At 53.1% G+C, this 14,681-nt stretch overlaps 7 annotated features.

Moving 5' to 3' along the window:
- Positions 4,527–5,529: a transcriptional cis regulatory region, noted in NCBI's record as "candidate enhancer chr2.184 targeted for multiplex CRISPR interference". NCBI's record gives its function as "positively regulates ID2 gene expression with high confidence in K562 cells {active_cell/tissue: K562}" and the evidence as "EXISTENCE:mutant phenotype evidence [ECO:0000015][PMID:30612741]".
- Positions 5,552–7,744: a transcriptional cis regulatory region, noted in NCBI's record as "candidate enhancer chr2.185 targeted for multiplex CRISPR interference". NCBI's record gives its function as "positively regulates expression of the ID2 gene with high confidence and the MBOAT2 gene with lower confidence in K562 cells {active_cell/tissue: K562}" and the evidence as "EXISTENCE:mutant phenotype evidence [ECO:0000015][PMID:30612741]".
- Positions 13,270–13,319: an enhancer, noted in NCBI's record as "active region_15265". NCBI's record gives its function as "activates an Ori minimal core promoter by ATAC-STARR-seq in GM12878 lymphoblastoid cells {active_cell/tissue: GM12878}" and the evidence as "EXISTENCE:reporter gene assay evidence [ECO:0000049][PMID:35858748]".
- Positions 13,330–13,619: an enhancer, noted in NCBI's record as "active region_15266". NCBI's record gives its function as "activates an Ori minimal core promoter by ATAC-STARR-seq in GM12878 lymphoblastoid cells {active_cell/tissue: GM12878}" and the evidence as "EXISTENCE:reporter gene assay evidence [ECO:0000049][PMID:35858748]".
- Positions 13,594–14,100: an enhancer, noted in NCBI's record as "H3K27ac-H3K4me1 hESC enhancer chr2:8683848-8684354 (GRCh37/hg19 assembly coordinates)". NCBI's record gives its function as "activates a minimal SCP1, AML or CMV promoter by ChIP-STARR-seq in naive H9 embryonic stem cells {active_cell/tissue: H9 hESC(naive)}" and the evidence as "EXISTENCE:reporter gene assay evidence [ECO:0000049][PMID:30033119]".
- Positions 14,101–14,607: an enhancer, noted in NCBI's record as "H3K27ac-H3K4me1 hESC enhancer chr2:8684355-8684861 (GRCh37/hg19 assembly coordinates)". NCBI's record gives its function as "activates a minimal SCP1, AML or CMV promoter by ChIP-STARR-seq in naive H9 embryonic stem cells {active_cell/tissue: H9 hESC(naive)}" and the evidence as "EXISTENCE:reporter gene assay evidence [ECO:0000049][PMID:30033119]".
- Positions 14,270–14,329: an enhancer, noted in NCBI's record as "active region_15267". NCBI's record gives its function as "activates an Ori minimal core promoter by ATAC-STARR-seq in GM12878 lymphoblastoid cells {active_cell/tissue: GM12878}" and the evidence as "EXISTENCE:reporter gene assay evidence [ECO:0000049][PMID:35858748]".

The following is a 14,681-nucleotide window of genomic DNA, read 5'->3' on the forward strand; positions in this document are numbered from 1 at the left end:
TCTTGGTGTGGAGGGGTGCTATAACCTCTCAATGAAAAAATGTATCTAAAGCTCTGGGACCATGTCTGGCACATGTAAAGAGTTTGATAAATGTTCTTTGCCTTTCCTCCAAAAATAGCCAGGGCTGCATCTTAACAGACATCAACTGGGGTTGGGCAAGTGGGAAAAGGGAAGGAAGATTGGACAGGGCAGAGGGAGGGGCAGGGCTCTTTCAGAGGGTGCCAGGAGGGTGCAGGTGTCCATCTACACGGGTTGTCCTGCAAAACATCTCTGAGACAAACTGTAATAATTCTTTTTTTTTTCTTTTTTTTGAGATAGAGTTTCACCCTGGTCGCCCAGGCTGAAGTGCAATGGCACAATTTCAGCTCACTGCAACCTCTGCCTCCCAGGCTCAACCGAGTCTCCTGCCTCAGCCTCCTGAGTAGCTAGGATTACAGGCGCCCACCATCACGCTTGGCTAATTTTTGTATTTTTAGTAGAGACAGGGTTTCACCATGTTGGCCAGGCTGGTCTCAAACTCCTGACCTCAGGTGATCTGCCTGCCTCGGCCTCCCAAAGTGCTGGAATTACAGGCATGAGCCACTGCATCCAAACCAAACTGTAACAATTCTGATGATTTGGATGAAAATATTTACACAACAAGCACATCTGAGATAAAAAACATTAGAATCTCTTTAGACTAATTTGTTCAACACAAACACCAAACCCAAGCTGCTTCAAAATGAGAAGGAGCGAGATGGTATTTCTCCCTCTTCCATGGCTCAAAGACACACAGCAGAATAGTATGGCTGGGAGTAGGCAAGGAAGGGCCCTTGGCACTCACAGCACCCGCCAGGTGGCTCCTGAATGCTAGGGGGTCCTGGGCTGGTGAGTTTCTAAAGGAAAAGGATTTCTCTGGACGGAGGGCTGTGTACTGCTCTGCATTTGTAGGGGAGATCTTTTATACCAGTGCCCCCCCCCCCCCAACCCGCCATGGTGCGTGCCATCTGCACACCCACACAGGGTCCCACACACATCCAGGCACCGGGAGAGAGGGCAGGAGGAGGAGGTAGAGGAGACGCGGGGCAACGATCAGGAAAAGAGAAACACAGAGGGAGACAGTTCAAGAAAGTGAGAGACACAAAGGAATGGAGAGACAGAGAGAGGTGTAGGCTGAAAGAATGAGAAAGAATGGGCTAAAAATAAAAAGACAGAGGCACAGACAGACAGATAGAGGAAAGGAGAGAGAGAGAAAAAGAGAGAGAGAGAGCAATGGGAGCATATTGCTTTTCCCCTGTGTCGACATTTGCACACATGGTACAAAAGCAACAGTGCAGGAAACTGCACAAATCAAGGAAACGGGCAGTGGCACCAAACCATATTAACAGTCACTGCAATCTCCCCTGCCACACACATCAGTTTCACTGAAGAATGCACTTGATGAAGCAGGAAAAAGCATTAATTTCATTATGTCTCTATACTTGATGACATATTTTTAATATTCTGTGTGAGGAGATGGGAAGGACACACACACCCTTCTACTATGCTCTGAAGTGAGAAGTTGACTACAGGAAAAGCACTTATGTGAGTTACAAGCTAAACTAGCCACTTTTTTCATGCATCATCATTTTTATTTGACAACTGACAAACTATATTTCTTCAGACTTAGGTATTTGGCAGACATCCTCTTGAAAATAAACAAAGTAGGCCTGTTCATTCAAGGCAAACAACTGACAGCGTTTATTGTCAACAACAATATCTAAGATTTCAAGTGAAAATTAGAATTTTGGGAAGCTTGTACTTGACTGAGAGCACTCCAAGACTTTTCCACAGAGATTGATGCTGATATTAATTATGGCGGCTTCTGGATATTGAACAATGAAATGTGTCAACATTTGGAAGATCTTCATAACTCAGTAAACCGGTAGTTAACATGACAATGTAAAATCATGCATGGACAAAAGATCTATTCAAAGAACAGATAAACCAACAGACATTAAGAGTACTTAGTCCTGAGGACTGGATGCTTCTCTGGAAATGAGAATAATAACCTCCCTTGTAAGAACATGCTAGCAGTGTCTGACATGTCATAGACATGTGATAGCTTCTGTTCTTAGATTACAGAGGTGGTAAATGAAGTATCACCATGGCTCTACCCATCTAACTTTAGTAGGCCCCCTACCACCACACACACAATTACCATAGCATGCTCCCAATACGATATCAGCTCTTTGCACTTGGCTGGGCTGGCCTGCTACACCCCAGTGCAAAGTGGAATTTCTTCAGCACATTGATCATCTTGTAAGCATCTTCACTCACAGCTCAGTAAACAGCCAACATTGTCCCAAAGAGTAGCAGCCCTTCAAGTATCCGGTCATGTGTCTAAAGAGCTCCATATCCATGCATGTGTGTGTATGTTTTTGTTACTGAAAGGGCATGGGGGGGGGCCACGTCTATACCGGACTACAGAGAGTGAAGCTGGCATTTAAAATCTACTATGCTTTAGCAATTGCGAAATATGCAATGCATCTTTTATTTATTATAGTCCCCATTCTGTATAAAAAATAAATTTGTGAAGTGATGGATTTGTTAATTAGCTTGATTTAATCATTTCACAATGTAAACATGTATCAAAACATCACATTGCACCCCATAAATACAGACAATTATTATTTGCCAAGTAAAAATGAAATGGATAAAAATGAGCTTGGTGGAGCGCAGAGCTGGCAGCACTGTGCTCAGCAGCTTAGCAGCTTGCTCACCCCATTCCACGAGGGATCTGGGAAAGGCCCACACTGTGGCTCTTAGAGCTGACTCCCAGCCCAGCAGCCCAATCTGGCCCAAACAGAGGGTATGGCCCTTACCCTAGCGTCAACTAAAGAGAGAAACCAGAGCATTCACCCATCTCTTTCCCCACCTTTCCCCAGAGGTCTGGAATATAGATTGTGCTTGAGCACACAGGACATGGTTCTGTCTCAACGGAGCCAACATCTTGGCCTAGCACAGGCCACTTTGTGACACTCTGTCTTATCCCCCAGGAGCACAGCCACATGGGCAGAAATCAGGAAGAGACAGCCAGCAAAACACCAGGAGCTGGGGCAGACCTGGAACAGTCTCCCTCCCAGGACCAAAAGGAACCGACCCTGCCTGCACCTTGATCTTGGACTCTGGGTCTGCAGAACAATACGTTTCTGTCGTTGACGTCACTCAGTTCAGGGTACCATGCTGTGGCAGCCATGTAAACTCATAAATCCTGCCAGAAGCTATTATCACACCTATTTTACAGGTGAAGAAACTGGAGCTCTGGGAGATTAGGGACTTTGCCCAAGGTCACTTGGCTAAAAACTTACTGAGCTAGAGTTAGCCTCTCTTTTCACAGCCCCTCAACTGTGGGTGTCTCCACCATCTCCCTGGCCCCGCGTGAATAGGCAAATGGTGATTTCTTCACCTGTAAGCTCTGAGGTGAGCAATCGGGTTTTTTTCTAGCCTTAGCACAAAGCAGAGCTTTAAGATGATAAACCTACTTTACCCTTGACAAACCCCAAGTGTGGTCTTGAAGGATGGAGCCGATCACCTACAGGTTTAAGGAGCCACATAGAGAAAGGGCGAGCATGGGGCTCCAGGCCCCAGGTTTAAATCCAGCTCTGCCTTTCTCCAGCCGTGGAAACTCAGCACGTTTCTCTGTATCCCAACGTCTTCATCAGTACTAGGGATGTTAAATTTGTGGGAAGGATTATATCAGAGCGTCCAAGCTTAGGGTGTGCTGTGGCATGCAGTCGATGTTGAATGAATGACTTTGTTACCATCATCATTATTACTGTGCTTTCTCATTACGATACCAAATGTATTCACGATAAAATTAAACTCGAAGCCTCTGCCCCAGGACCCGCTACGGGCCTCTTGGAATCACCTCCCTTATTCATGGAGAGAATGCTCAGGAGGATGAGGAGGGAGACCCAGGGCTGACCTGGAGGGGAGGTGGACAGTGGGACAGCAGTCCTCCCACAGGAGCCAGGCCCCCCTCTTCCACCCACCTCCTCACCACCCCATGTGGCTTCCTTCTCAACACTACCAGCTAGAAATGGGACTTGGCTTTTTAAACTCAGCCCCGATGTGGTCACACTGGAGAAATGCATGTCCGCTCTGTCAGGACAGGACACGCAGGAGGACCAGGAGAGACACTCCCAGGCTAATGGGCATGAGCCCTGGGTCCAAATCTCAGCAAGAGGACCCAAGAGAAGACCCAAGGGAGGCCTTCTTCCCCAGAGTCAGGGCTTCTTCCCTGCAGAGAGGGCTGCAGGTGCTTCCTATCCTGTTGGGTCCATGAGTGGCTGCTCAAAGGGACGAGTTCTCGTGGGGAGGCACTTCTGTCCCTTGTCAGGTTAAGTCCTTCACCGGTTCCCACCCCGGACAGGACAGGGCGCACTAAAGCTCCACTGCGTGCATGACAGCCTTCCTGGCTGTGGACCCTCTCGCCCATTCCCCAGACCCCTCTGCAGAGTTCAGGAGTAAGGAACTCGGCGGCATAGCCCCACTGCAGGCGGGGGTTGGATCCCAGCCACACCACTGGCCATGAGCTCAGGCACACCGCTGGTCACTTGACCTCCCTGAGACTCAGATGTTCGGCCTCTGAGTAGGAAGCATCCAGGGCAGACCAGCGAGGAAATGCAATTGACCCCTGACCAGACTCCCAGCCCCACAGCCACCCGCTGCGGGATCTGCAGGCTGTGGAAGGAGCTGAGTCAGGGGTGCTTGGGGGGATGTGTCGGGAGGGGAACCTGCACCCTCACTGGCGGGGGTGGAAGGGGAGGCAGAGGCCAAGGGCTGCCGTCAGGCACCGTCTCAGCAAGAGAATCAGGAACTAGAGCCCCCAGCTGTGAGGGCCCTGTGAGATTTCTTCAACTTTTGTCACTTCCCCACTTTTTCCCCTTTGGTTACCACCCTTCTGCCCGGCGTGACTGTTAATTAACCCCTTACAGCTGCAAGGGCTGGCCTGCAGGGTCAGCAAAGACAGGAGCCAGAGGACAGCCCCACCCCAGCCCAGGCCAGTCCCGAGATGGGGCCAAGCCAGCAGGGCCTAGGTCCAGGCTGAGCGGGTGAGGGGTGGCCCAGGCCTGGAGCCACTGCAGCCAGAAAGGTCCTGGGCCCCCAGCCACCCTCTGGGTAAGCTCCTGGTGAACGTCCAGGCAGGCCTGGTTGTGCAACAGGCCCCGCTCCCAGTAAGTTGCAGCAGGGGGAGGAGATCTCAGCCTGCAAATGCTGCTTTGCTGGTTATACTCTCACCTCTGGCTGGATCCACCCAGCTGCTTCCATGTCTCCTCCGCTCCCAGGCCTGGGGGAGAAAGCCCAGGAGGGAGGCGTAGAGCGCCAGGCCCTTGTGGCTCCCCTGGCTCCATGCAACTGAACTCAGCCCCAGAGGATCTCTGCTCTGACTCGAGAAAGTCCAGGGAGAGGAAGGGGGCTGAGGAGGGGAGCAGAGCACACCCCAGCACATTCCATGATTCATCTGGACCCAGCGCATCTGCCAGGGTCCATGCGTGTGCACGTGTGTGCATTGAGGGTCGCACGTGTGTGGTACTTTCGATCTGAAAACACACAGTATCTCTCCAATCCTCACAGCAGTCTCATGAGCAGAAACGTTTGTGTCAATACACAGATAGGGACACCAAGGTTTGGACTGACTCAGTGACTGGTGGGGATTCTCACGCAGCCCGGGGGGCTCCCACAGTGGTCCCTGCAGAAATCCTGGAACTCTGCTGCAGGTGGTCACGGCTACCAGGCATCACCAGCCCATCTCTGAGACTTCCACACACGGAGGTTTACTAGTAACTCATTTGCATATCTGCCCCTTGCTGGCAAGATCTCTTCCCTACCCCAGCTCGAAGGCTCGGTGCTGCCATCCAAGCCAGCTTCCTGTGTTCTGTCCAGAGCAGAGGAGAGAGAACCACCCACCCAACACCCTTCGTGTAAAAAGCCGTAATCCTCCTGTGCTTGCAGACTTCACCACCAGCCTGCAGCCTCACCTTCCCCCAAACTTCCCTCCTGGTTCTAATTTTTCAGTCCTTTACTCATCTCTGGGGGAAGCGGCCCAGGGGGCGGGAGGCACGTGGGAGGCTGAGAGCTCAGTGTTGAAGTCGGCGGCAGCCCCGGGCTTGGGCTCACCCAGCAGTACCCGCCCCACTGCTGCCTCGGAGAGACAGAATAAGATCCACATCCTAGCCCAGTGCCAGGCCTGGGGAAGGTATGAGACGAACAGGCCCAAACCAGCCAGGACCTGGGCAAGCCCCTCCGGCCAGTGCCTCTGGCCCTGCAGGGCACTTGACCCCCCTCACCTCAGCCCCGTGAGTCCAGATCCTTCCTCCCTGGGCAGACCCCTTCCCACCCACATTGGATGTCCTCTGCAAAACATCACACATCATCTGTTCTCCATTCCTGGAGATCATGACACCATCACACAGGCCTGGGCCCCCAAGACATCACTCTGAGCCCCTGCTATATGTGATGGCCCGTGGAGGCCCAGGTCCTCCGCCTTGTCATCCAGAGAACAGGACTAATGTTCCCTTTAGCTCCTGGTTTGGGGGTGGGGGAGGTTTGTCACGCAGCGAAGAGCAACGGCCCAACTGAACTCAAGATAGGTAACATCTATCACTCTCTGCAATCTGCAAGCTCGTCACTCTGCCTGGGAAGATTAGATTAGTAAGCACCCGGTCATCGGAAAAATCCAGCTCCAGATACCTAATATCTTGTTTTCTTCCGTCTGTGCCCACAGTGTTTGTGAGGCTAACTTGGCTGGCATTTTTTCAAGTGTAGAAACAAAGCAGGCAGCTTTCTCCTTTCCAGGCAGGGCCTCCCCGACTTCAGTCATCTCCCACCCTTGACTCTTCCCCAGACACCTCCTCCAACCCTCTGAGTTTTCCCAAATGGGGCCCAGGCCAGACTCCAGCTATGTCTTGGGGCCCTGGGCACCAGGCTTCCCCTCCCTCCCCTCGTGTTTGCTGATCATTGTCATCAACCCTGGGTTTTCCTGAAAGAAGCACAGCCCATGTGTCTCAGGGTCCTTCTCCCATCTCCTCTTGGCCTCTTGGCCTCCTGGTAGGCTCCACACAGCAACACCAGCCCCCACACATCCTGACCCCTACTTCCCAGAATCGGTCATTTGGCAGGATTTGAAATCATCACTGCTTCCAGGCCTGTTTGCCTGTCACACTCTTGGGAGAGATTATTAAAAGCATAATTTTTAAACAGACAAGAGCAAAGCAGCCCCTTTGGCTAGGGTCTGATGGCTACATCACACCCTCTGGAGAGAAGTACGGCAGTGAAGTTCTGCAGGCGACTCCTGCCGGTCTTGGACGTGATGGGAACTCAGGAGGTCACAAGGCCCCTCAGCCATTCAACCTGACATCGCCAAAACTGGAGGTCTCCTGGGAAGCTGTCTTTTTCATCTCCGTTCCAGGAGCAGAGTAGGACTTGCTTTCTAAGCTGGGGCTCCTCAGATGGGGCTGAGGCTGCAGAGGGTTGGGAGAGCACGAGTCTGGGCTGGGCTGTCCCTTCCTCCCACCCTGGGCCCTGCCACATCACTGTCAGCTTGCCAACACCCCCTGACCTGTCTGTCCACGTGGCCTAAGCTTTCCTGTCTTTTCAAGCCAGTCTTAACCTAGGATCAAAGGGTCCAACTCAGGCAGAGACTCACCTCTTGTAAGATACTGCCTCAGGGGCGTGACTGCTCTTGGTGAAAGGGGAGAAAGTGAAGGGGGCTCCTGCATGGGTGGCAGGCTAAACTTGCTGATGCCAGGACTCAGCTGCTCTCAGGGAAACACAGGACCCCAGGCTGAACATTTTCAGAAAGATCCAATCCAGCCAGCCAGCCCCTTCTGCTGGCAAGTCAGCTCCCAGGGCCTGGGCTCCCAGGGAGAAAGGAATCCAGAGACCTTAGGCAGAGAGACATCAGGCCAAGGGGGGACCGAAAATTTTACATCTTAAAAATACCTCAGCTCTTTTCTTTCTCTGGTTGAAGTTGTTGAGTCTTCTGCAAGTCAACTGCAAGTGAATGCCTGGACCAATGGAAAATGCTCGGGAGGGCCCCAGCCAGGCTCCCACTGAGCCCAGCTCCTTCTCCCTCAGTCTCCTTCTCTCTGTGTCTCTCTGCCAGCCCCCACCCTCTCTCCTCTCTCCCTGTCCTGGCCTCACTATGCTCCCTGTAGGTGTGTGCATTTCTGTCTTTGCTCTCCTGCTCCATGTCTTTCTATCTCTCTCCTTTCTTTCTACCCTCAACCTCCCCTTCTTAGCCTGGAGGAAGCTGTAATTTAGGGCCTCTTTCCCCAAATGAATCTCTCAATATCTACAAATGTTAACTTCATTAATTTGGGAAGGATTTATCAGCACAGAGGTTAATTGTCTTTCCCTGACATGTTTTTACTGAATACATCTGGGTGACAAAATTAATTTCCTCATTAGCTATTTTTGAAAGTGGAACAAGCTGAGGGGAATCAGTGCAGGGGGAGTTTGTGCCATGTGAGCTGTTCCGGGCTCCCCACGATCTGCCTGGGTGCTCCCTCCCGTCAAAGGTCACGGGGGCCTCCCGGGGGTCTGAGCTCTGCAGGACATCCTGGCTGAGATGGGGTGGAGGCAGGTCTCTCTGGGCCCAAGAGCTCCAGGGATGGGCCTATGCCAAGTGGAGCGACCCAGGCCCATCTGCTTGCCCCAGACCTCTTCCTTTCCCGTGTGGGAAAGCGGCTTCTTGGTGGGACACCCAAACCACTGCTCCTTTGAACAGACTAGGAGACGCAGACAGAAACAGAGATCTCCCAAACAGCCCCAGCTCAAGAGCTGTTCAGCTGGACCCAGGAAGCCAGACCCAGTTATTCTGAGGGCCTTGGGGGTTAGAAGTCTGTGTCCTTCATCGGGCCCTGATTAGCCAGGCCCACAGGTGCTTCCTGGGGTGACTTCCAGCCCAGACGCCCCAGTGTGGAGTGGCCCCAAGACCGCTGCACTTCTCCCTAAGGGAGAGGAGGATGTGGGAGCTGGCCAAGTGCCCAGCCCTGGAATTCAGAGTGGGGACATCTCGAACCACCTACTGGAAAGGTGGCCACGTGCAGGGACCTATATTCTGGTGCAGGTGTCAAGCAGCAAAGAGCCTGGGACCGTGGGCCATGCACTCGGCTTCTCAAGGCTTCGGTTTACTTGACTATGAAGAAAATGGCTGCCCCACTGCCCAGTCCCAGGAACCTCCCAGATCCAGACCCCGAGGCTACCGCTGCCCCTTCTTATCTCGCTGTCACCTGTCTTCCCTCCAGGAGTTGCCCTGCACTTCACTCGGACCATTTCCCCAAGATTGCTCAGGACAAAGTCCAGACCAGGCAGCACCCAGCATCCAGAGCTTCTCCAAGCAGAGCTTCATCCTCCTCTAACCAGACCCTCCCAGGCCAGCAGGCACGAGCTCTTGGCGGCATTCTATTAGAGCAGAGAGGAAAAGAGACCCAGTGGGTCAGGAGACTGCCCTGGACCCAGGCAAGGACAGAGGCCAGAAGCCCATTCCTCTCTGGGCCAAAGCCCCGACCCCACTTGGGGGGTCCCAGCCTCCCATGTCATCCCCAACCACACTGGGGGATCCCAGCCTCCTGTGTCATCCCCAACCCCACTAGGGATCCAGCCTCCTGTCTCATCCCCAACCCCAGTGGGACACCCCAGCCTCCCGTGTCATCCCCGTCCTCGCTGCAGGGCCCCAGCCCCCCATATCATCCCTGGCCCCACTGGGGGACCCCAGCCTCCTGTGTCATCCCTGTCCTCACCCCGGGGCCCCAGCCTCCCGTGTTATGGACCCCTTCCTTTCTAGGAAACAAGGCGTGGGCCGCAGAGTTCGAGTTGGTCCTGAATTTCCTGTTTCTTTAAGCTGAGACATTTTACACACATGGGCACACTCCCCAGCTGCCACTTCTGACCTAGCCCAGAGAATTTCATGCAGCAGCAATTTCAGTAACAGGAAAAACCAGACCCAGGGAGCTATCTGCATGTCACAAGCCAGTCGCCTGGGGCAGGAATAGGACAGGCTGCCAGGCTCTCCCTCCCTGTCTCTATTTCCTTTCTCACGGCCACTGCTCCCTCCTGAAGGTGGCAGCAAGGGCAGGAGGATCCTTGAGACAGCTGGCTTCCCACCCTTCCCTGGGGCCTCCAGGACCACTGTCCCCTCCCCATACCCTCCTACCCACCGTGGAACAACCCTGGCTGCTGTACACACAAGCGGGGACCCTCGCAATTGCCTTCAGTTGGGCTGTGCTGAGCCCTCCTTCCCAGAGACCCTTCTCATCAGCTCCACTCCACTTTCAGCCTGAAATGGTGTCTCTACCATCGCCAAGCTCTGTGGCAGCCCTCCCTGCAGTCAGCCTGCCTCATGCAGGGTTTTCTGAAACAGGAATTCCAGGCTTCTTTGCTGGGGAGGTCAATGGACAGGAGTCTGGCCATGAAGTGGGACCAAGGAGGATGTGCCTCTGCTCCCCAAAAGTGAGAGAGGCACTCTGGCTGGCCTACAGGATGACCAGGAACAGGCCTCAGGGTTCCCCATGACCCTGACTCTGAGCCTGTGGATGAAGGGAATCCGTCATCAGGGGAACAAGGAGGTTGAGGAAGGCCTCCCAGAGAGGCTGATCACAGAGCTGGGTTCTGAAGGATGAAGAGGAGTTTGCAGAGCCAATCAGAGGAAAGGGCATGCAAAGGGAGGCTCTGAGACTTGGGAAGAGCCCAGCCCCACTGGGGAGCCTGAAGCTGCTCTGTGCTGCTGCCACATGCCCTTCAGAAGGGCAAGGGGAGGCAGGTGATGGAAAGAGCCCTGGTGTCTTCCCGTAGGGGCTCTTAGTGGGAATTAGGCAAGACCAGTGGCAGAATCCAACTTGTGGGTTAGGAAAAGACCCTGGGAGGCTGTGCAGAAGCCAGCCCAGGGCTGTGGGAGCCAAGAAAAATTCTACCTTGAAAGTGGGGAGTGCTGGTCATAAGAGACTTTCTTCTAATGTGAGCATTTCCTCTATGAAAGAGAATGGAGGGACATTTACAGACACTGTCAGATGAATTCTCAGAAAACCTTGGGGAGGAAATTGGAAAGCCCTGCCTGCCCCAGGCATGGCAGGCATACCAGGTTCCTGGCTAGTGAAGTGGTTTGCTCAGGAGTTTTTGCAGAACCAGAAAACTTAGATGGAGCCCCATTTTAGAGATGAGGAAACCGAGATAGAGGATGCTTCGGATGACAGTACTTTGGTGCCTGTGCCACGAATAGCACCCGGATCACCCTGGACCACCTGCCTTTGATGTGGCACGGCAGCTGCATACATTTTCCTGTGCAGGCACTTGGGTGGCCTGAGTTGCCTCCAAATTTGGACATCTGGCTGCTTCTTGGTGCCCCCACCTGAAACCCAATCCACCTCTTCCGAAGCCAGCAGATAGTGAATTGCTCAGTAAGAAAAAGGTCTGTGCAAAACAGGAGACTAGAAAGAAACCTCAGTGCCTCCAGGAACCTCACGTGAGCTCCGTTTGACTCTGCAGAAGCAAGTTCCTTGCTTTTAGAGGAGTGACTGTGGCTGGGCATCATCCAGACCTATGTGCAATTATTGGTCGAAGGCGTCTCTCCCGCTAGACGGAAGCGCTCAGAGAACCAGGCAGTGGAAGGTGCATGACTGGGAGGAATGAAGGATGGCCATCCTGAAGTGGAAGGTGTGTGACTGAGAGGAATGAAGGATGGCCGTCCTGAGGCTGCGCTCGAATGGAGGCTTATTTAACATGGAGCCTCGTGCAAAACACCCCGGAGCAGGCCCCTATAGGATTGAGATCGCTCCCTGTGATCTGCTGCTTCCCTCTCCAGTGGTTTTTATCTTTGAACAGAGCAAATCCTGGCTCCACTCAGACCTGCTCCGTGAGAGCCGAATGCAGTCACTGCACCTGGTCGGGGCTGAGGAGCTTCTCAGCCATTCCAACAAGGCCTGGTCATCGAAAAGCCATGATTTTCTTGCATTCTGGGCCTTGTGACTTCTTGAGACGGGAAAAATGAAGCGCTGTTCCACGATTTTGTTCTCAATCTAAAGGACCATTGCTTTGGAAAGTGGTCAGATTCTGCTTTTGGTTGATTTTAGGATCCAAAACTATGGCGATGGGAAAAAGGAAATGCATTTTAGGATTTCAGGTATTGTCTAAAATTTGCACATGATTATATCCTGCAATCTTAATGGTTCATGCGTCTCATGCTCAACCAAGAGCCTCTGCTGGCCTAAATGATCAAAGCATTTCCAGGAATTATTCAAGAAAAAAAAATCTGCTCCCGTCACTCACCGGCTGAAACCCCCTCAGTGGCTCCCACTGCCCTCAGATGCAGTCACCCTCCTTACTGAGCTTAGTGAGGGCTGCACTAAGCACTTTGCATTATTCTCTCATTGAAGTATCACAACAATCACAAAAGGAACTATCATTAAACCCATTGCATGGATGAGAAAACTGATCCTTAGAGAGGTCAGGGACTGGTTCAAGCTGACTGTGCTGTACAGTGTCAGAGCAGGGATGACCCCAAACCCACCAAGGCCATTCTTAGCACCCGCAATCTCCATGACCATCTCCTAACTCTCTCCCTCCCCCTCATCTATTTCCTACCCATGGATGAAACTGTTTGTGTCTCACCTACTACTACAGTGAGCCCCTTCTGCTTACCTCCCTGGGCCCCAGGCTGGCCCCACTGGGTGCTCCTGGCAGCAAAGTCCATGTCTGATTAGGGAACTTCTTATTAGGAGGCTTCCTTGTTTGCTTTACCCACCTTCTCCAGACTGGGACCCCTGGAGACAGAGCCCTTAGCTCCCGAGGCCAGGTGGTCCCTTGCTGTGCCCAGCACAGATCCTGGTGCCTGGGAGGAAGGCAGTAAATCTGTGTGAAGTGGGTCATTTCATTCTGCATTGGAGGATCATTTTCATGCTCCATAACCCACGGCTATCAATAAAATTAATATTAGCTTCCAGTAAAGTCTAGAGAGGTGCTTCTCACACTAGAGTAGGCAACAGGGCCACCCGGAGAGTCAGGTAAAACTCGGAGGCGCTGGCTCCAGAGGCCCAGACAGGTGAGGCTGTGTGGCTGGTCCTGCCCCCGCCTCTGAGGGGCACTGCTCGGCAGCCAGCAGCCCACCCCTGAGTGCAACACTCAGCAACCAAAGGCACCTGGCTGGGCGATGACTGACAGTGAGGCAGCTCCAAAACTCCCTTCCACAGCATTTACAAAACAGACACAAAGTTTTCTATTTGGAGGAGTCATTTGCTGCAATGGGGGTTTTCCCTTCGTTTTTGGAAATGCCATGAAATAAAATGTTAAGTGTGACTCCAGTATCCTAATCTGAGGCACAGACAACTCACCGCAGTTACACCTCAGAGAAAACATGGGGCTCCCCGGGAGAGGGGCCTCACTCAGCCTGGAGTTATGTTCTGACTTCTCAAAACATGAAACCATTTATATTGGCTCTGGCACATTCAAAAAAAAAAAATTCCCTTATGTCACATGCACGCGCGCGTGCACAGAGATCAGCTTTCGGTTCACAATGAGTGTGCCCCTGGGTCTTTTCTGTGTCTCACTCATTGAAGCCTGGGGGACCAGGCCCTGGGGGACCGACGGGGTGCCTCCGTCTGTGCTCCTTGTCCCTGTTGGCCAGAGCTGGTGAATCACCCGGCCCCAGCAGCCTGCGTCCTTTCCCAATTACCGTAGCTGTCAGAGCTGACTAAAAAACCAGTAGCAGCTGGCAGGAAATGGGTAAGAAAACTGACCACAGATAAACTGTAGGACTCTACAGAGCAGTGGCAGATAGACTCGGGGACAGGAAGTGGAGCTGTTAAGACTCGGCCCTCGCCTGCTCCCGGGCACCTCAGGGCCATCGAAGGGCGCGTGCACCTGAGATGCTGCGGTGCTCGCGTCACGCAATGACCCCGCAGCAGGCACCAGCCACGGCCCCCGAAGGGAAAGAAGCAGTCAGGAGTGGCGGAGAAGCACCCCCAAAAGCCCAGGCCTTTGAGACTCCTGCAAAGGCAGTGGTTCTGCTAGTCCAGGGGTGATGGAATCGCAGCCGGCAGAGCCTGCGCTGTTGAGGTCAAATGACCTGCTGGCCGTGCATTGCCTCACCCGGCTCCCTGAAGCCAAAATGACCAGCTCTCAGGCAGGGAGAGGCCACCACACATTGAGAACAGTGCTGGTGTTGAGGTGGGGAGGCGCTTCTCTGTGGAGTTACAGGTCCAGCGTTTTCAATACTCCCACCGCGTTTCAGCCAATGCCAAGGGCGGGCCCTTCAGAATCCCTAGTGAGGAGAAAGTATCAGCCAGGTGGCATGCTGGATCCTTCCATGCATCATCCCACTCCTGTTCACATACCCTAGGAGGCAGCTAAGACTATCCCCATTTTACGGATGTGCAAAGGGAGGCTCAGGATTAAATAGGCCTGGCCCTGGGTTCCACCACCTATCCACCTATGAGGGGCAGAGCCCAGATTCAAAGTCTGACTGGGGTCTCTGCCCCGACGACCTCTGCTCACAGCGTGCCGCTAGGTGCTGAGATGGGAAGAGGAGAGAAGGGGTCAGAGGAGAGAGGGGGAGTGAGCACAGTGGAGGAGGCTTGCCTGGGCCCTGATGCTTCACCCAGAAAGAAAATGGGGTGGTCAGTGTTTAATCGCATCTTCCCAGTGGCCCAAGCTGCATGTCCACC

This window comes from Homo sapiens, chromosome 2 (assembly GCF_000001405.40).
Source record: "Homo sapiens chromosome 2, GRCh38.p14 Primary Assembly".
Lineage (NCBI taxonomy): Eukaryota > Metazoa > Chordata > Mammalia > Primates > Hominidae > Homo > Homo sapiens.